This window comes from Homo sapiens, chromosome 17 (assembly GCF_000001405.40).
Source record: "Homo sapiens chromosome 17, GRCh38.p14 Primary Assembly".
In the NCBI taxonomy this organism is placed as follows: Eukaryota; Metazoa; Chordata; class Mammalia; order Primates; family Hominidae; genus Homo; species Homo sapiens.
The window spans coordinates 54,991,598-55,014,008 of NC_000017.11; the positions used below are offsets into that span (position 1 = coordinate 54,991,598).

The following is a 22,411-nucleotide window of genomic DNA, read 5'->3' on the forward strand; positions in this document are numbered from 1 at the left end:
TGGATTTCATTTGCTGTTTCTGTTTTACTAAAGTGATTATGTGTCATTTTTTGAAAATTGCCTCCATTTGATTTTGGAGAGATATCAGATATAAAGAATTTAATAAAATTATATTAATAATTAAGAATTAATAAAATTAATAAAATATTCTCCATTTGATTGACTCCATTTGATTTTGGAGAGATATCAAATGTAAATAATTTAATAAAATTATATTAATAATTAAGAATTAATAAAATATTCTATTAATATCAAGCTATATAGCATGAGAAAGGATCTTCTTATTTTGTTCTTGTTGTTTGGTTAAATAAACAGTCCTACTACTTTTACCCACCGCCCATATCCCTCCCCCACCACTGCAAACACTTGTTTACTAAGCAGTTTATCTTTTCAGCTGGATTTTTTTGTCTTGTTAGGGAAAAATTCCGTTTTACCAATAACTTCCAAAATAGTTGTAGTACTTTCAATTGTTTTATGCTTGTTCAGATAATAAGGCATCTTTTAAATATACTTTCCGAGTTCTAAGTGTTATAGAGGCCAGGCATGGTGGCTAATGCCTGTAATCCTAGCTTTGGGGAGGCAGAAGCAGGAAGATTGCTTGAGCTCAGGAGTTTGAGACCAGCCTGGGCAACGTAGAGAGACTTGAATTCTATTAAAAATTAAAAAAAAAATCAGCCCGGCATGGTGTTGCATGCCAGTAGTCCCAGGTACTTGGAGGCTGAGGTGGGAGTATTGCTTGAGCCCCGAAGATCAAGAGCAGTGAGGCATGATCGTGCCACTGCACTCCAGCCTGGATGACAGAACAAGACCCTGTCTCAAAAAAAAAAAAAAAGTATTATTTAATAAGTTTAATGGCATAAATTTTTGGCTATTAAATTTAAATTATTAAATAAATATTTAAAAGCTAAATTTAAACAAATTCAAAAAAACAAAAAAATGAATTTTTTCTTCCAAGAATTGAGGTGTTACTTTAGTGTTAAAGCTGAGAGGTGTGTGTGAGTGTGTGTCTGTGTGTGTGTGTTCAATATAGTAAGGCATTTCTTAAACTACACTTGATATAATGCAATAGTAGATCAGGGTACCCAACAAGTGATAAGAATTTGCTTCCTTTTTTTTTTTTTTTTTTTTTTTGAGACAGAGTCTCACTCTGTTGCCCAGGCTGGAGTGCAGTGGCACAATCTCGGCTCACTGCAACCTCCACCTCCCAGGTTCAAGCGATTCTCCCACCTCTCAGCTTCCCTAGTAGCTGGGATTACAGGTGCGTGCCAACACACCTAACTAATTTTTGTATTTTTAGTAGAGACAGAGTTTCACCATGTTGGCCAGGCTAGTCTCGAACTCCCAACCTCAGGCGATCCATCCGCCTCAGCCTCCCAAAGTGCTGGGGGTACAGGCATGAGCCACCACGCCTGACCTAAGAATTTGCTTTTAAGACAAGCATCAATTTGTGCTTGTTTGTTACGATGAAAACTATTTGGAGTTAGAGTAATAAGTTGATAGCGGTGGTGCTGAATGACTCTTTATCTTCTGTCAGTGATAGCAGATTAAGAAATTATTCTTATGATATCTACTTTTTCTTGTTAGAATTTTACTGAAGTATTAAAAGGCAAAATTTTCTCATTGACTATATTCTCTACTTAGCACTAGAGGGCAGCACAGAGCTATTAATGTTCTTCCTACCTGGTCATATCTGACCAAGGAAAACAGGCAAGATAGAAAAAGGTGTAGGAGAAGAGGACCAGGGGTGATGGCTCATGCCTCTAATTCCAGCACTTTTGGAGGCCCAGGCAGGAGGATCCCTTGGGCCCAGGAGTTCCAGGTTGCAGTGAGCTATGATTGCATCACTACACTCCAGCCTGGGCAACAGAGCATTTCTAAAAAATAAAAAAATTTATAGAAGTAATTTTCTAGTGCTTACATTATTTTTAAATATTTTCTCAAGATGGAGAGCTCTATGCATATGCATATTCTTCAAATACAAAATTGATATAACTTTATTTTACAACAATGTATTAATACATTTACTATATTCTAAATACTGTTTTAACATGTTAATAAATTTCTAGTCTGCACAAAATTTCTACATAGTAGAATCTGTGGAATAGGAAACACAAACTCATAAGGTTATCTTAATGAAGTTGCTGAACTGAGTAACTGTTAATATTTTTTAAATGCATATGAATGCTTTAACTTTCTGTAATTTTGTTTTAACATTATAATGTTTCATAATTAACAGTATAGGCTATCTCAAGCTTATAGCTAGATTATATTTCATTTATATTTTCAAATCTTCCAAACTGTAAGGGAGTTATTGGAACGCAGAAGAAATTTTCTTTAATTATTCATGGTTTGCCACCACCCACCCCAAAAGTTTTCCTCCTGGAAAATATGAGAATAAAATACTGGTTTAGTAGAAGCAAAATAGTATGTTTCTTTGAAAAACATATCCAGAGTTCAAATATGGGATATTATGAATACATCTTTTCAGTTCAAGCAGAACCAAGATTCCCTCAGCTCTAAGAGCTAGAGGCACCCTATAAATTGAGAACTACTGTATTAATTGCTAAAGTTAAGGAAATAAGAGAGCTCCAAGGCCCTTTCACTGTGTCAGCTAGTCCCATATCTATCTGGGGTCAATCCTAGACCCTTTTTCTGGCCAAGACACTCCTTTAAGCTTCATACCCATATTCAGTTCCCTGATCAACATTTTTACTTGGACCTCTTAAAGGTATCTCAAACTCAGCATTTCTGAAGCAGAACTCATGACATTTACATCACACCATATTCTGCTCAACTCTTCCCAAACAGAGTCTCTTCCAGTTTACCTAGTCTTGGTGAATGACAGCTTCTAGCTACACAAAGTCAGAAAATTTAACAGCTTCCTATTTCAACTCCCATAACACTGTTCAATTCATTAACACATACCATTGACTTTTTTACTCTCGAAATATCTCTTGAACCCATCAGTCTTCTTGATCTTTATTCTTATCACTGGAGCTTAAACTGTCATCAGTTTTGAATCAGCCCTTTCAGTAGCATCGTTTGTTCTTATGCACCATACCTATTTCCCTCCCAACCTACATATCTTACTAATATTTGGTTGCCTGCAAGGTTCCATATAGTGTGGCTTCTGCCCTGTCCTTCTCTGCCTCTCCATCACTATGCTTCCAGAGTAGCATTTTCTCAGTTCCTGGAAGGGGCGAATTTCTCTTTTTTTTTTTTCTTTTCCATCTCATATGCTGTTCCCTTAGGAAACAGCACTCCATTTCCTTTCCCCCATTATTTCCAGTTATCAATTCAAAGACTGCTGCCTAAGGGTTGTGTTGCCTGCTTTCCCCCAGTCTAGGCTAGGTTTTATTTTTTTCTACATATGCTCCTAAATCCCATTCCTTTCCTTTGTGTCACCTACCTCAGTTTGCAATGATATATTTATATTTATGATTGTTTAATCATCTCTGCCTGAACCACAAGACAGTATGTTTCTTAAGGGCAAGGATGCTATCTGATTTTATTCACAGTAATATTGTTAGTCCCCACTGTGGTGCCTGACACATACATACTTGCTCAATTTAAATTTATGAATGAACGGTCCCGTAGTCATTTTCTCACATTTCTGAGGATTACTGATCTGCTTATTTACCCTTCCACTGGCACCATTTGGGCTCCACACCAAGGTACTTCCTCCTTGGGCCTTTGTGTCAGATTTCCGACAACACTTTAAAGTTCTCAAATGTTCATTTTTATTTCTTTCTTTTGTTGCTGGTAACATAGGGAAAGCAGACAGAAATCAAAATCCTCTCTTCAAATCTGATAGTATATTTCATATTTTCTTCAGTTGGTTCTAAGATATACATTAAAACATATACATATAAGCTATGCATGCACACACACATATATATAACATGCATATATCGGTATGTAATATACTTATGAGTGTGTGTATGTACGTATTTTTTCCTCTTCTATCTCTGAAATTATAGGTCTCACAGTCAGTGTCATCATGTAATTTGTGGCATTGAAGTAGGACATATTTAACTTTCAGAGGAAATCTGTTTTCATGCGGAGCATAGCACTGGAACCAGGGCTAAGGCTTTTAGATAAATATCAGGATCAGGCCTCTGGATGGCAAACTATGAAGAAACCAGTCCCACTGGTGGGAGCTGAAGAAGTAGCAGCCAAGATGGTTCGCTTTGCAGTGTCACTCTCTTTATTCCTTTGCCATTATTATTTTTGTCATAGCTACCTTAATTTCCTCAGACTGTTTCTTGGCCCCCTTTAACCTATTGTGGACTTACTGTGTACCTAGCACTGTACCAGGGAAATAACCATGAAAAGGACAGAGTTCTAGTTATGCCTAATGAAAGAATTGGTGATTCTGGCCCACTAAAAGAATCATTGCCCCTAGACTGGGAGTTGCTGATTTAGTATATTCTAATGTGAGGGCAGGGAAAAGCAGATATGTAAACATAAGGACCATACAGAGTAAGTGCAATCCTTTAGGTAAGTAAAAGTGCTTTTTGAGCAAAAAGACACAACGATTAAGTAAATCCTGGGCAACTAGAGAAAACTTCCAGCAGAGATAGTGTTTGAATTGGGCTGTGAAGTTTAAGTCAGAGTTTATTGCAGAGAAGTGGCAGGGTGGATGGTGGCATTCTAGATGGGAATTCATATGTGTGAAAACATTGAGGTTCAAAAGACCATGGCTGGTTTGAGGCACATTCTCTGAGAGTAGAATGAAGAATATGCTGGTGTGGAAGGTGGATGATGAAGCTAGAAAAAGTAAGTTGCAGTAAATTTGTTGTGCTGGGTTTGGGATGTTGAGGAGTTTCAACTTTTCCTACCAGTTGGCAGCCATCAAAGGTTCTCAATCTAATGAGTAATATAATTAAATTTGCTATCAGTATGAAAATTGTCCACAACAGATATGGAAGTCTCATTCACTTCATCTTATTTAACACGTATAATGTGCTATAATTTACATATGTTACTTAATTCTTATAGCAACCTTGTGTTACATATATTTATCCCCATTCTACAGCTAAGAAAATAGAGGTTCATAAAAGCTGAACAACTTGCCTCAGTTCACAGTAATAACTGGAGTTAAAAGAAGGTCACCATCAGTCTACATCTTGTAAAAGTACAGGAAAGGAATCTTAAGGCTTACAGAAGGACTATTCCTTAGTATTAGGTATAATGAGTTAGTTAAGTCAGAATTAGGCTGTATAGATGGTTTCTCATAATATTGAAATGTATTATTTAGAAAACTATATACCAAAGTCAATATAGAAATGAATAGTACTGGTCGTTTTTAACAGAAGTGTTTATGTGGTCAGGAATATATTATTATTTCAACATCTACATGAATGTCAATGTGAAAGAATTCAGATCTGAAGTTCAGCATATGAAAGTGCTTGGCACATTGCCTCCCATGTCAGGTAGTTGCTCTGTAACTGCTGAATTGGAATCTAGACTGTGTGGAAGAGGTCTCAACATATCTCTGAAGTTAGTATCTTCACATATACATTAATCCATCTGGGGCAGAATGCACTCGAATGCCAGACTTACAAAAATAGCTTTGTTTTCATTTGCAGGTTCTGACTTTTAAACAGGTTCAGAAATTCACATGATCAGCTAAGATCTTATTCTAGGAGGCAAAGAAAAAAACTAACTGCTATGAATACTTTTTAGAAAGAAAAAATATGTAAACACCAGAAGTCATAGTCAGAAGGCATTCTTCTTCTTCTCTTTTCTGACTCCCTTCCTGCCAGAAAATGCAGCTTCTATACATCAGTGTACTTTAATACAAGATGGGCTAAATTGCCTTCATGTGAACTTTTTTTCTGTACTAACACTGCATGTTATGTTGTCTGACTTTGCTAACTATGTTTAATCACATATTTACATAAAATCAAAAATTTTTTTTAAATTATATATATAACATAAATATATATAATATAAATATATATATTATATAATATAAATATATATATATTTTATATATTTTATATATATATATATTTTTTTTGAGACAGATTTTTGCTTCATTGCCCAGGCTGGAGAGCAGTGGCGTAGTCATGACCTTGACCTCCTGGGCTCAAGTGATCCTCCCACTTTAGCCTCCTGAGTAACTGAGACTACAGACATGTGCCAGCTATTTTTTTTTTTTTTTTTTGAAAGATGGGGTCTAACTATGTTGCCCAGGCTGGTCTTGAACTCCTGGGCTCAAGCAATCTTTCTGCCTCAGCCTCTCAAAGTGTTGGGTGTACAGATGTGAGCCACCGTGCCTGGCTTATATATTTTTAAAAATTAAGTTGACTCTTTTGGCTTAAGTATTTTAAATAATGTTTACATTTCAGTAGGATAGGGTCATTATGCATCTAGATTATATAATCTTTTACACACTATTTGAGATATGTTTCTATAAAATCCTTTCATGAATGTTTTATGTCAATTTTGTTGTTTTCCTATATATTCTTTAGTCAGTGAAAGAGATAGTACTTCATGTCTTTTTAAAAAATAATAATACCTGTTGTTATTTAGGAGTAAAATAACTGTGAATCACCATTATTACAAATAATACAGCTTAGATCAAAGATCAGTATCCAAGGGATATATTTTAGTAGATAAGACTTTAAAGAAAGATGTTTTCTTGAATTTGTGGAAGTTACTTAAGTACCATCAAGGTGAAAATCTCCCTTTTTAACCATATAAGCTTTTTCTGTAGTTATAAAAATAATGGTTTCTACCACTGTACTAATTAATGATAAATAGGGAAATACCTTAGGAACTGTAAAAGAAGAAAGCTTATTTTTATTTTCTAGTTTGAATGAAAAGAAAAGACAAAAACTGGGAAACTTATCTAACATATCTAACAACCACATTAACTCTTGTTCCTGATATGCTCTGTCTTACTCAGTTAGGCTAGCTGTGAGCAAGCCAGGCCTTAGCAAAGGCAACACCAGGCAGCCAGTTAGAATTGTCATTATTAGCAGGATATGGCTAACAATATATGCACAGCCAACTAGGCCTTAATCATAGGGGGATAGCAGGTATAGTAAAAAAGATTATGCTGAAATATGGGTAGGATCAATATAATTAAAATCCTTGGCCAGGCGCAGTGGCTCACACCTGTAATCCGAGCACTTTGGGAGGCCAAGGTGGGAAGATTGCTTGAGCCCAGGAGTTTGAGACCAGCCTGGGCAATGTAATGAGACCTCATCTCTACAAAAAATTTTGAAAATTTAATTTTTTTTTTTTAAAAACCCTTGACTAAAGTTTTAAAAATCTCAATGTGGGATAAATCCACACACACATTGAACAGTTTGGTGGGAGGACATATGTAGGAATGCAGAGAAAATAAAATAAATGAGTTTTGTATTGTGAAATATCCCACAGTTATTTGGCCCACTTTATCACAGAGTCAGAGCTTTATCAGCCCCATAGTGCTCAGTTTTTAAAACAGGTCCCTTTTCCTGGTATACTGGCCTATGTCCTACCTACCATATTAAGAATTCTTTACCACGTAAATTTATTCATGCAATACATGAACCATTCCATTTTACTCATAATATATGTTACCAAACCAGACTTTAATCAAGAGATTTTGCTACTGAGGTTGTCTAAGATTTTACTTTTTACTCTTTTTGAAGGCATTCTTCACGAAAACTTTTCATTGCTTTAATTACATCAATTAATTTTTTTTTAAATACCTCATTAGTTCCTTTATAAATGTTACTGTTTTTGTTAGGATGGTCGTTTGAAGCCAGGAGATCAACTTGTCTCAGTCAACAAGGAATCTATGATTGGTGTATCATTTGAAGAAGCAAAAAGCATAATTACCGGAGCCAAGTTGAGGTAACTATACTATCCATGAGATAGAATGAGTCATTTAGAATGTCTCCTTGAAAGCAGTAATTTAAGATGTATTAAGTACTTTATAATAAGTATTTTTTAATAACATCTGAAACATTATCTTGGATTTCAGTTGTACTATATTCATAGCATATCCATAAAGTGATTTCTTTTTAGTACTAGGTTAGAATCTGCTTGGGAGATAGCATTCATAAGACAAAAATCCGACAACATTCAGCCAGAAAATCTGTCATGTACATCACTTATAGAAGCTTCAGGAGAATATGGACCTCAAGCCTCAACATTAAGTCTTTTTTCTTCTCCTCCTGAAATACTAATCCCAAAGACCTCATCCACTCCCAAAACAAATAATGACATTTTATCTTCTTGTGAGGTAAGTCAGGTAATCTTAAATTTCTCTATATATGCACTCCATAAATTCCCTATACATTTTTACATTGGTTATGTACATATAGAATTATTTCAGTAAAATTGTTAACAAATTAATATTTCTTTGAAAGATTTTTTTCTATTTAAAATTTTTATGCTGTGTTTTCAATAAACATATTTTAAGTCAGCATGTCCTGTGTCCAGGAGCATGATTGGTTAGAAAATACCAGCATGACAAAATGGTTCCACAAAGATATGCCTAGATATCACTCAAAACTATGTTAAGAATGTCATATTTGGTTTCAGTTGGTTTAGTTATTTGCCATTTCTGTTCTCTGCTTGACTGAAGTGAGGCCATCTTCCTTTTTGTTCCTTAGCTTCTTTCCCACACAGTGAGGCTAATCCCAGGCATCCAATCTAAGAAGGTATTGCTCCTTCATGTGTGCATGCTATAGTTCACCCAAGTAGAATCACACAAAATGGGGAATTTCTATATCAGAATTAACATACTCAATTACTAACTGCTATATTATCTGAACAAATTACAGTTACAGAATAAAGTGTGTATTATTTATATCTGTGTTAGCTGTAAAATAGGAAACTTAAGCTTTTAGTCAGTAGAATAAAATTCATCAAAGGTAACTTCAGTCTCTGGTACATGCTGAACAGAGACAGAGTATAAGATTTTCTGTCAGCCCCTTATACTTTGTCACTTGGAGCTATAATACTTTTAAAAGACAAGATGAGTGGCCTTATATTTTGTTATCCTTGGATGTGGTAGAGCTGAAAGCAATTGTTACCTTTAATTCTGAATTGCTTTGTTTGAAGATGCATATACCAAAATTTTAGAGGTTTCATATTTGAGGGATAATTACTTTAATCTCTTTAACCATTCTTTTTATGTTAACATGGGCTTCAAGTGACCTACTTTAGTAAATGACATTGCATGTTCCTCATTTTCTTTCACAGATAAAAACTGGATACAACAAAACAGTACAGATTCCAATTACTTCAGAAAACAGTACTGTGGGTTTGTCTAATACAGGTAAATACACATTTAATTTCTATTTCCTGTTTTTTATTTCAATTCTCTCTCAATGAGGAGTGTGTAATGTGACTTAAGACTTTGAAGAAGGGTGAATTATGTCTTTGTTCCTTCAGTGAACGAAAAAGTAAAAATAATGTCTTTCCGTTGGGCCCTGTTAAAGTATGACTTTTATTAGATATTTCCCTGAACAAAGAGTTGAAGTTTCAAAAGATGCATTGTCATAACAGTGTTTATGAAGCTGTAATAATTAATGAATTGTTTAAATCAAATAATGGAAAGTCTTCTATAAAGATCAAGATTAGGTTGCCATGTCCTTTTAGTGCAATACTGATGAGGCATATTAAATACACCTTTCGGAAAACACATTATAGAAGGGAGCATACCTTAAGAAAAGAAATGTATCTTGTTTTTTTGGAAGAAATCATATGGATATCAATTATAAAGGGTGTCAGTATTGTTAATTCATTATTATTGATTCTTAATTACCATAAAATGATTTACTGACTTTTTAAAACAATAAAGCGTTAATTATCTAAGCCAAATGTAAAATAAAGATTTTTATGTGGCTATAAGGTGCTTACAGGATCAATACGAAGAAAAAAAGCCCCCTGAAATTATCTCCAAAAGTTAAACACAACAATGATAAAAAGACTAAACATAACTGAAAAACTAATTATATATGCCTAATTATAAGGTAAATTTTTACCTGTATATTTTAATTTTGTTTTAATAGCATTATTTATATAAGAACTGAAAAATAAGGAAGCATTAATTTAAATTAAATAGCTACCAATCTTTTTTTTGAGATGGATTCTTGCTCTGTCGAAGTTCCGCCTCCTGGGTTCACGCCATTCTCCTGCCTCAGCCTCCCAAGTAGCTGGGATTACAGGCGCCTGCCACCATGCCCGGCTAATTTTTTGTACTTTTAGTAGAGATGGCGTTTCACCATGTTAGCCAGGATGGTCTCGATCTCCTGACCTCGTGATCTGCCTGCCTTGGCCTCCCAAAGTGCTGGGATGACAGGCGTGAGCCACCGCTCGTGCCTGGCTCAATAGCTACCAATCTTTACAGGAGTTTATACTATATTCCACAGTAGTTTCCTCCGATTTGGGGTGGTATTTACCAGTGGGTTAATAGCAATCTTAAGCCATGAGTTATATTACCTTTTACTTAGATTTATTGACCAACTTTATAGCATTATTCCTCTTACATAATTAATTTCCAGTCTCTGCATGTACTGTATTTATTTTAAACTGGGAACCCTTATGAGAAGAAAAAGACAAATGAAACAGTCATGAGATGAGCATCAAAATTGCTAGATGATGGAAGTCAGAACCCTTTATTCCTTGATATTATAAAATATTAATAATTATATAACATGTTTTTAACTTTTAAAGTAATTGAACTATTCAATGCCTATTTTAACCTTTTATTCAGTAAGGTTTTACTATGTTATATGTGTAGAATACAGTACAACGGGAATTATGAAGAAATTAGGATATTTTCTGTGAGATACTTAATAGTATATTGTGAAATAAAACATGGGGCTAAAAATTATAATTATTGAAATTAGGAAACATTCTAATTTATATGCATGTATTTGTTTATAGATGTGTGTGTATGTTTATTTTATCAAGCAGCTACTATTTGCAGTTTTTTGTGTTAATCAGAGCAGGATATGGGTGGTTTTGTTACTCTAAAAAGCATTCTGTCTTGTGGATGAATAACACATTTACACAAATTATGTAAAGACATGAACAAAGAGGCCTAAGGAAGGAAGTAGTGAGTGCTATGAGTATGGTATAAGGAAGGCACAGTGGTTACCACCAGGCTCTGAATACAGACTCAGTGTTCAGGTTCTTGCTTTCATCTTATTAGCTCTGTAACCTTGAAATAGTTACAAGTTACAAGGAGTTGTTATGAGGATTAAACAAGATCTTGCATGTCAAGCACTTATATTGTAATTAGTGCATAGTATATGCTTACTAAATTTTCCTGTTACTAATAATATGGAACCTATAGCTTAGAGTGTAGCTCAGATAATATTCTAGGTCATGTTTATAGAGCAGAAGGAAAGCTTCCAATTCTTGATTCAATTTTATGTCCTCCCCTTGACCCCAAAAACTAGTATATAATAAGGAATCTGTCACAATATGCAGAAATTAAGAAAAATTTCTTGGCAAAAGTCAGACATTATCCAAATCTTGAAAAAAGTGGTAAACATCAATTGATAACTGAACACAGGAGATCGTTTCAAGTTAAGGAAGCACCACAAATAAAAGCATAGAACTAAGGATGAGCTAGATGTCAGATGATTCTAAGAGTCAGGTGTGATTAGAGCAGAGATCTTGTTAACAATGAATAAACTCAGGTAAATTTATACCAGTCGCTATAAGAATAGTGGTAGATTTTGTAATAGAAAAATAGGTTAGTGAAAAATATATTTAAGTAAGTTATAGGTAAATATTAAAATACAATTAAGACGGAACATTTTTCTAGAGTAGAAAGTGCATCAACTCAGTCTCATTTTCTTCTACATAAATGTAGTAGGCAAGATATTTCTGGGGAGTGGAAAAAAGGCAAAATCACCTCTAAATTATCTCTAGATAACTTATATACATTGTGATTTGCATATTATAAGTACCTAATTATAGATTGTTACAAATCAGAAATTAACCATCACTTCTAGATTTCTTCAGTTACCTGATGCTAATACAAAAAATATAAACAAATTTTAATGTTAACCTCAACAAAAGTAAATGTAATTAGATAGTTCTATTTCTGTTCTTATCTAAAAATCATCCCAAAGTGTAAAATAGGTTAGAATTTTTAAAATCCACATAATATTTAAATGTTTTAAAAATGATGCTATTATACAGAAATTTATTTCAAAATCCAGAGTTGTTTACTAGTGCTATATATAAGTTGAATAACACATGAGTTTGTAAGTGAGCTAACAATATACTAAAGACATTTCTAAGGATAGCAATAAACAATTGTTGCAGCCAGGTGCGGTGGCTCACATCTGTAATCCCAGAACTTTGGGAGGCTGAGACGGGCAGATCACTTGAGGTCAGGAGTTCGAGACCAGCCTGGCCAACATAGTGAAACCCTGTCTCTACTAAAAATAGAAAAAAAAAAAATTAGCCAGGCACAGTGGTGCACGCCTGAAGTCCCAGCTACTCGGGAGGCTAAGGCAGGAGAATTGCTTCCTTGAACCCAGGAGGCAGAGGTTGCAGTGAGCTGAGATTATGCCACTGCACTCCAGCCTGGGTGACATAGCAAGATGCCATCTCAAAAAAAAAAAAAGAATTGTTGCATGAAGAAATACAGTCATTATTTTAACTTTACTAATAGCGCGTAAAGCCTTAATTCCTTTAGACCAAGTCTTTTGAAACTGAAGCAAAATAGTTATGGGGAAAAATATCCATTCAGAGTTCATGGTATTAAGCAAATTGTATTGATCCTTTCCTTACAAAACATTCCTTTTCTTCTGCTGCTACAAAGAGGATAGGAACAGAAAATCCGAGAGAGGCCAGGCATGGTGGCTCACACCTATAATCTCAGCACTTTGGAAGGTCGAGATGGGAGGATCATTTGAGCCCAGGGATTCAAGACCAGCTTGGGCAACATTGTGAGACCCTGTCTCTACAAAAATTAAAAAATTAGCTGGGCATGGTGGCATACACCTGTGGTTCCAGCTACTTGGGAATCTGAGGTGGGAGGATCGCTTGAGCCCAGGAGGTCGAGGTTGCAGTGAGCTGTGTTTAGGCCACTGCACTCCAGCCTGGGAGACAGAGCAAGACCAAGACGCCTCTAAAGAAAGGAGAAGGAGGAGGAGGGGGAAGGAGGAGGAGGCGGGGAGGAGGAGGAGAAGGAGACGGAGGGAGAAGGAGAAGGAAAAGAAGTGGGGAGAAGGAGAAGGACAAGAAGGAGAGAGAGCCAAGAGAATAATAAGCCATACTTAGAAAAACTCACTCCCCCAGAAAGGAGCAAATAAAGAGCTTGGAGCTGGGATAGAGAGATGTCATTGGCAGATGAGGAAAACTTCTATGAGGGGCTTTCAGGTAAAGTTACTCTGAATTGACAAAGTGTGCTGGAGTTATACACAGACCCTCTTAAGGTTTTAACTCAAAAGTAAAGGTCTAAGTTGTCTGGAAAAAACAAGATTTTGTTAAGCCCTGATTGCATATTGTTAAATGAAGGTTAGTGTAATTTTACATTAAATCTCCTTATAATACAGTGTCTCTGTGTTGATATTAACAATACTGCATAAGTTTTCACAGTAGTTTTCTATGATATTGTTGATCTTCTAACTCCTATGAGGCAGTCTGGTTTATTCCCTCTACTTTATAGATGAGCAAACTGATTATGAAAGATGTTGAACACACTTAAGAACATTGGTCTGGAGTCACAAGAGATTAGACTCGTGACATTATAATGTACTAGCTGTGTAACCTAGGCTAATTTCTTTACCTTTTCCTGCCTTGGTCTTTCATCTTTGGGATGGGAATAATAACACCTATGGTCACTGTGGTCATTTTGAAGATTAATGAGCTTATATAGGTACATAGTTTACTGTTTAGATAGAAGTAAGCATAAATAGGAGCTTCTGTTCTTTTCACTGTTAGAGATAGCAAATTTTTATGCTTAGATGTAGGAAAACGTAAGTGAGAACACATTCCTCAGTGTGTCAGTGTTGTAGGTGTTCCTGTCTCACCTTCTCTCATTCTCCTCTCTCCCCCTTGCTCTCCCCTCTGCAACTCTTCCAATCACTTAACACTTGAAATGAATAATTCAAGCCCAGGTTTAGTCTTTGAGACCATAATCAGGTTCACTTGGGTCCACCTAGTGTTAATGTGCCTTAATTGCAGACCAAACACCAAGCTGGAAGTCATTGACAAGCTTCACATATCCAAACCTTAAAGGATGAAAAATAAAGTTATCTGCTGGTTGGTCTTCCATATCATTCCACTCCATGCTATCTTTATACTACACTTTAGGTTTGGCACAGGATTTCTCTTAAGAGAGGAAAAAAATTATATGTATGTATATAAAAAAATTATATGTGTATGTGTGTATATATATGCATACCCATATATGTATATGTGTATATATGTATATATGTATATGTGTGTGTATATATATACACTATGTATATATTATTTTTAATTTCATAGCCAACAATTAGGTATCATGATTACAAAGGAGATTCACTTACTTTTATCAGAATTGTAAAAATTCTATTTAATACTAAAATCAGTCTTTTTCAAAGTTTAATTCCATTTGAAGCTAAAAGTCAGCATCCATTTTTTTATGATCTTGACACCTATAAGCTATATTAAAGATTTTACATAGAATGTTAAGGATGTGTTAAAGGTTTAGAGGAAGACTATTTATTTTCATATGCACTTCTTATGTTCTTAAGAGAATGCAAATCATTTTGTACTTAGAGACAGATGCTCTGAGAAATTTTAAAAAATTAAAACACTGCATAAAGATGTGACATTTTCCAAAGATTTTTCTTCTTCCTCTTGTTTCTATGTAGAACTAGTAAAATATCATTTAAAAGTGTATTTAGAATAGTGGCAATTTAGATAGTAAGATCAATATGAATTACAGGAATTTGTTTTACAAACTTTGGCATATTAAAACGTACAGTATTTCAAGTTCTGGTCTTTTGTAGCATCTTTTTTATTCATGCACTAAGGACAAAGGCTCATTTAAATAATCAGGGTATATTGAGAAGATGTAGAAAAATGGGTAAGAAGTGTATGACTTTTAGCTCTTGCAAATTCATTTATGCTACTTGAAATGTAACCTGTCTTTAAAATAAGAGATAAGATTTTTAGCTCAAAGTACAGAATCTGTATTATACTTTATGTGCAAACTTGAAATGACTTGCATTTATGGTTTTTTCCAGAGTACTTCCAGAATACACATCACAAAACACTTTTGCCAGTCGAAAAAATACCAACATCTTTGAACAAAAAGACTTTTTATCTTTTTAAGGCATTGTGGTGATGTAGTAGTGGTGGGATGTATGTTTGTCTTTTAAGTTAATATATCTGTGGGACTTCACAATGCATAATTGCCTACTCTTATATCTTAGGACTTAAGTAAAGCCAACTTATATAAAAAATTTAGACTTAAAAAAATTATGAAAACTTGCCGGGTGTGGTGGCTCACTCCTGTAATCCTGGCAGTTTGGGAGGCTGAGGCAGGCAGATCACCTGAGGTCAGGAGTTCAAGACCAGCCTGGCCAACATAGTGAAACCCTGTCTCTAACTAAATATACAAAAATTAGCCAGGCATGGTGGCATGCACCTGTAGTCCCAGCTACTTGGGAGGCTGAGGCAGGAGAATCACTTGAACCCGGGAGGCAGACATTGAGCCAAGATCGTGCTACTGCACTCCAGCCTGGGCAACAGAGTGAGACTCTGTCCCCCCTCCAAAAAAAAAAAAGAAAAGAAAAAAAAATTATGCAAACAAAACTAAAAGCTGCTAACTGATTAGCTAGAATTATTTTTGAACAGCAGGAACTCAGAACATATCCTGTCAAATAAAAATTTCGATTCCAATTAAGTTCCCAATTAATGTGCACCCTGTTGTCTCTTAGATGTTGCTTCTGCCTGGACTGAAAATTATGGGCTACAAGAAAAGATCTCCCTAAATCCCTCTGTTCGCTTTAAGGCAGAGAAACTGGAAATGGTAAAACCTTTAAATTTTCATTTTTCTTCCATAAGACAAAAACAGGAAAGAAGTATTCTCCTTCTTTGAGAGGATAAAGTACTGGAGTCATTAGTTTCTTGAAGTTACTTATTTACAATTAAATGAATGGCAGTTTGGATTTAAATTATTTAATTCACATTTGAATTTGGTAGTTCATGGTGGTTCACTAGTACAAAATAGAAATAAAATCTTTCATAACTAAATTGGCATTTGGATCAAATAGTTTTCTCCTCGGAGAATAAGACAAATGTGATTTTTACAGTCTAGAATAAATGGAAAGATGTAACAAATTATGGCAAAGTAGACGAGGCTTCATAATGGCAATAAACACAATCAAGTAATAGTCCATTATTCAATTTTTTTTAAGTAAAGGGAAACAAAATTTTAAAGAACAAAATAGTCAGATGTCCACTAAATATAGAAAGATGGTGGCAGTATACTAAAGCACTGAAAAGTAGTCCTGGGGAAAGTGGAACATTGAGACTCTCATGTAAAAGAAACTTAAGATGATTAAAAAAGAAAAATTAAAGGCAGAAAAGCACTCGAAAGCATTTATCAGGTTACCAGGGATCTGAAGGGAAAAATAAGCCCCTTTTTTTTTTTTGATGTAAAATGGATATACTGCTGAAAGACCACAAACTCTACCTTCCAGTCAGTTTTTGAGGATAAAGCATTCTTACATTTTAGGAAGAGTATAAAAATGCATAGCTAAAATAAAGCACACAATCTGTTTATTCCCATATCCACACCTTTGCTTGGTCCTATGATAGTCCTTTCTCATTGCCAATTTGAATCTTATCTAAATTCTAACTCACATAGGGGAGAAAAGTTTTCTCACCCATCGGTAGATTCATGGCTAAGACACCTATAACAAAAGACAGATTAACGAGAAAATAGCATGCAGATTTATTTAATGTATGTTTTACCTGACATGAGAACCTTCAGAAATGAAAACCCAAAGAAACAGGGAAAACTGTATTTTTATGAACAGTCATACAGAAGTGTAATTGGAGCACAAAAGGGTGTAATCTGATGGTAATAAACTGGGGGGAGCATAGCAAGGCCTGTTTGTTCAGATTCTTAACATCTCTGTGTCTTCAGAGTTGAAGATATTTCCTTTCCTCTAGGTATAGGGAGGTCCTCTCTGGAATGAGGGTCTTTTAATCTACTTTTAGGGGAGGATCAGCTGGGTTTTATGGCCCACCTCAGGGGAGAAAAGGTGAGAGAAGGTAAGAAAGACCTTCCGGCTTCTGCTGTTTTCTTGCACACCAAAGTGCCATACTTTGAGGCAGCATGTCCTGGATTTTGTCATTCAGTTCCATCTCCTTCATTCAGACTTTGCTAACTATTATAGTTCGGACCAACATTGCCTTCTTTTGCACGTTAGTAGCACTTACCTTCACTTTTTGGTGCCCTATAATCTTTTCTATATCTTGTTTTATCAATGAAATTATAAGTGTCTTCACCGCAGACCCTGTAGCACCTATTAGTGTTTAAATAGCTGCTTCGTGCTCCATAAAATTTTCCAATTAATTAGATACTTGAGATGTCTCCTTTATACTTTCAAAATCCTGAGTATCTTTTGTAACGTGTGTTTATGTTTGTGGCTAAAATGTAAGTTCTGGCTAACGCTTGGTCTGCAATCAGTTAATAGTAATATTTTCAAAAATAGAGTGTTTGAAGTTTAAAAGCATGACAATTACATATCTAAAAATGAATAATTATTCAATGATATTGATTTAGTATACATTTCTGAACATCCAAGATTTAATACCATTCTTCTGGATAAGGAGAAATTTATCCAGCTAACTGCTTTACCTGACAGACTTTGTTATTTTACTTAGTTTAAATTTTTCTAGCACATGATATTATTTTTAATCTGATTAATATTCTTTGAGGTATGAAAATCGAAATTTGTATTGATTCTGAGAAATATGAGTTGCTTGGCCATTAAATCTGAATTCCAGTTTTGGTTCCCCTTTAAGCCTTAACAAATTATTTTTGTGGAAAAGTAAAATGCCAGTTTTACATCAAAGAAACCCACATTTGATATAAATTCAGCCTCTGCTCTTAATCAAGATAGACTTGTTAATTTTATTTAGTAGAGCATTCTTTTTTTTCAGTTTGAAACTATATTTCTCTTAATAACTTTTTTCGTGAAATCTACATTAGCATCTATCCACCCAAATTATTTCTTGAGCTACTCTTCTTGTTTTGCATTACTGATGCAATACAACACAAGTAAAAGCTATTACTTGTTTTGCACATACTGATATTAATGTCATAATATCAGTATCATCTCAGCTTGAAATAGGTCCTTCTCTTTTGGTTGCTACTTTGTAGACAGATTCAACTTTGTTGTCCATTACGTTTTAACACATTCCTATTCAGTAATAAATAAGGCCAATGTGATCAGGTATTTAAAATAAAATAAAATAAAATAGTATATTTTTTAATCTTCTATAAACATTACACGTGGCAGCTCGAAAATTGGTGTTTTAATAAAATTTCACAAGGAAAGGATGTTTACTAATTATGAATTTATTAAGTAATTAGCCTACCCAGTACAATTTTTAAGGAAAGCAGAGAGGTTAGAATTTGATTAAGGAAATTACCTGTCAAGACAATGTCATATATATATATATACACACATACAAACATATATATGTTCAGACATATGTATATATACATGTGGCATTGTCATGAATTCTTTTATATTTTATTGGTTTAAGTAGAGAAATTTATAACACTGAACTAGTTATTTCTTAATTCCTTGTCTGTAAAATGGATTTACATTTGCCTCTTTCTGTGAATACTCTGAGAATGATTTAATATACAGATATTTTAATGTTATTTCAGCATAGTTATTTGTAGTGATATATTTCTTCAAAGTATGAATAGTATATGTCTCATTTGATCCTAATATTAAACTTATAAATATGCATTATAAACTTAGCAAATAGGGATACAATTTATTGCTTGGCTTGAAATCAAAATATCGTACCTCTGCATTATCTGTATATTTATACCTATGGAAGATGCTTTGGGATATGGATGCCATTTCGCTGATATTTACTTTTACCTCTTGCCATTTCTGTAACGTTTCAAGAAAACTGTAGAGAGCAATGGCATACCCAATGTCTCATTATAGTTAATGAAATATTCTTTGTATTAGGCTGAAAGGTGTGTGACTAATATTGTAACAAAGTAATTTTTAAAATTCATCATTCAGACATCAGAAAAACTTCAGCACATTTATTTGTCTAATTAACAAACTTTTATTTTTGCTTCAGATTAAAAGATGACCTTAGTCATTTAATAAATTATTGGAACCAACTTTTTGTTTTACTTTTTTCCCCATACATATTCTGCTTACATATGAGACCTACTTTTTGATAAAACATGTTACTTCCAACTTAAATTTAAGAGCTTACCTAACATGACATGTGGTATTCTTCTAGTGTGAATTTTACTTTCAACAAAACTGTCATTTATTACTAAGCTTAGCTCTATATCAAAGTACACTGAGTTAATTGCATTGTGTAATTTTATTACTTAATGTAAGAATTACCATATATTGAGCACCTTCTGTGATAGACACTTTATTTGCATTATTTTTTTTAATTTTTTTTAAATTTCTTTATATTAAAATATTAATCATGTACAAGAATGTATGTATTATACACATACAGTTTAAAGAATAATAAAACACACATTTACCCATCACCCAACTTAAGAATCAGAACCTTTGACATTGCTAATGTATTTCTTCTTGATCATATGTACCTCTCCCCAAAAGAGGGGAAATTTTGAGTTCGTCATTTCTGTATTTTTCAAAAATTTTCAGTTAATTTAAGTATTGTGGGATCAAAGAGTTTATTTTCTTTTTCTTTTTTTTTTTTTTTTTGCAGTTGCAAGATTTAATAGAGCTCCCATAACAAAGGGAGGGGACCCAAAGAGGGTAGCCATTGGTGGCTCGAATGCATGAGTTTATATCCCGATCATTGTCCTTCCCGCTGTACTCTCAGGCAATAAATTATTGGCTATTTCTTTACCTCCTGTTTTTGCCTAATTAGCATTTTAGTGAGCCCTCTTTACTACCTGATTCGTCGGGTGTGAGATAAGTTGCAAGCCCTGTGTTTAAAAGTGAATGTGGTCAGCTTCCCAGCTAGGCTTAGGGATTCTTAGTCGGCCTAGGAAATCCAGCTAGTCCTGTCTCTCAGTCCCCCCTCTCAACAGGAAAACCCAAGTGCCATTGAGGAGGTTGGCCGACGACCGCTCTAACTGCTTCCTGCTGAACTGGGGTGTAGTAGGGTTTGTGCAGTTGAGATTTCCTCAGGAGGGGTGCCTTCGATGTCATTAACATCAGAGCATGGGCTAGCAGGCCGGTCCAGGGGTCCGCGGTAGATCTTAGTCATGGACTGCATCAGGTGCTCCATTTGAAGAACTATTTATGGTTTTACAGCTTCGATTCTGGAAGAGACAAGCTTAACAAGGAGGTTAAAGATACAGGGATTGAAATGTATAGCCTGCAGTGCAGGGGATTATTTCTTTGGCACACTTCACAGTGCACCATTGGTTACCTTTCCATTGGTTAGCTGCAGGCAAAAGTATTTTTCCTTCTTCGGTGGCTAGCCATCCTGAGGGGAGGAAACTGTGTCCTCATGAGGTTCCCCATTCTATTTCTTCTTCTGAGTACTGGGGCTTTGTTTCCCGGAGGGCATTACCCCATAGTAGGGTTCCTTCTATAAGCATTTCTAATGGAGGGTCCTGCCTTGCAGCTCTTTTTGCTTCAATATCTGCTTGGCAGTTCCCTTCTATTTCCCTTTTCTTTCCTTTCTGATGACCCCAGCAGTGTAAGACTTCCACCTCTTTAGGTTTCTGTACTGCCAGTAATAATCTCCTAATGGCTTCCTGATGTGTGATAGGTGTTCCCTCGGAAGTTAGGAATTCCCTTTCTCTGCATATTGCCTCATGGGCATGGAGGACTAGGTGAGCATACTCAGAGTCTGTATATATATTTACCCTTTTCCTTCTCCTAATTCTAGTGCCCCAATGAGGGCTATTAGTTCTGCCAGCTAAGCACTAGTTCCTGGAGTGAGGGGATTACTTTCAAATATTCCATTATCACTGACCACTGCATACCCCGCTTTTTGAGGTCCTTTTTCTACAAAGGAACTTCCATCAGTATACAAGTTGAGGTCAGGATCAGTCAAGGGAACCTCTAGAAGGTCCCCTCGAGTGGCATAGGTTTGAGAAATTATTTGTTGACAGTTATATTCTATCTTCATTGTCTGGAAGAAATGTGACTGGGTTAAGAGTTGCACAAGTGCACAGTTGCAGCACTGGCCTTTCAAGTAATAGAGCCTGATATTTAAGTAAACGGTTGTCTGACAGCCACAAGTCTCCTTTAGCAGTGAGTATGCTGTTCACCTCATGAGATGTCCACACAGTAAGATCTCTCCCTGTATTATTTTAACTGCTTCAGATACTAAAACTGCTACTGCCACCACTACCCATAAACAATGAGGCCAACCCTTTGCCACTACATCAGTTTCCTTACTCAGGTATGCCATGGGTTGCAAGCTTGTCCCTTGGACCTGTGTAAGGACTCCCAGAGCTGTTTCTGTTTTTTTCTGTGATGTATAAAGAAAAGTCTTGCCCCGTTGGCAAGCTTAACACTGGGACTTGGGTTAAGGCCTTCTTTAGGGCCTGGAAAGCCACTTTTGCTTCAGGTATCCATCTTACTAAATGGGTATTGGCTTTCTGAGTTTCCTTAATTACTGTATATAATGGCCTGGCTATTTTGCCATACCTGGGAATCCATATTCGGCAGAAGCCTGTTATGCCAAGGAACTCTCTTAGTTGCTTTAGGGTTTTGAGATGAGGATAAGCCAGTATAGGCTGGATACATTCCTCACTGAGGGCCTTGGTGCCTTTGGATAATTTTAGTCCTAAGTATTTAACCTGCTGTGAGCAGAGCTGAGCCTTCTCTTTGGAAACCTTGTAGCCACAGGTGGCGAGGAAATTTAAGAGTGCTTGGGTGGCTTGATGGCACAAGGTTTCTGAACAGGCAGCTAAAAGTAAATCATCCACATACTGAAGGACAAGAGTGTCCAGGTATGATAACTGACTCAAGTCTTGGGCTAATGCCTGGCCAAATAGATGGGGGCTATCCCTGAACCCTTGGGGTAAAACAGTGCAGGTGAGTTGAGACATTGGGTTCAAAGGATCTTCAAAGGCAAACAAGAATTGAGAGTCAGGATGTACAGGGATGCAGAAAAAGACATCCTTAAGGTCCAGGACTGTAAACCACTCTGCTTCCTCTGGTATTTGGGAAAGCAGAGTATAAGGGTTAGGTACAGCTGGGTATAGAGGGACAACGGCCTC

General features: G+C 35.4%; 1 protein-coding gene across 15 annotated transcripts in view; it reads left to right on the forward strand.

Moving 5' to 3' along the window:
• Nucleotides 1-22,411, forward strand: part of STXBP4 (syntaxin binding protein 4) — a 244,509-nt gene that overhangs the window by 22,833 nt on the left and 199,265 nt on the right. For 6 of the 15 annotated variants that reach the window (XR_007065289.1, XM_047435714.1, NM_178509.6 and 3 more), the window contains exons 5-8: nucleotides 7,748-7,854; nucleotides 8,035-8,245; nucleotides 9,211-9,286; nucleotides 15,909-16,000. Coding sequence is in view for 14 of the 15 variants with exons in the window: in XM_047435714.1 (XP_047291670.1) it covers nucleotides 7,748-7,854; nucleotides 8,035-8,245; nucleotides 9,211-9,286; nucleotides 15,909-16,000 (486 nt within the window). In the remaining variant the exon portion in view is untranslated. Of the gene's footprint in view, nucleotides 1-7,747; nucleotides 7,855-8,028; nucleotides 8,246-8,618; nucleotides 8,667-9,210; nucleotides 9,287-15,908; nucleotides 16,001-22,411 lie in introns of all 15 variants that reach the window. The other 9 variants (NM_001398481.1, XM_047435715.1, XM_047435717.1 and 6 more) reach the window with 3 other exon arrangements.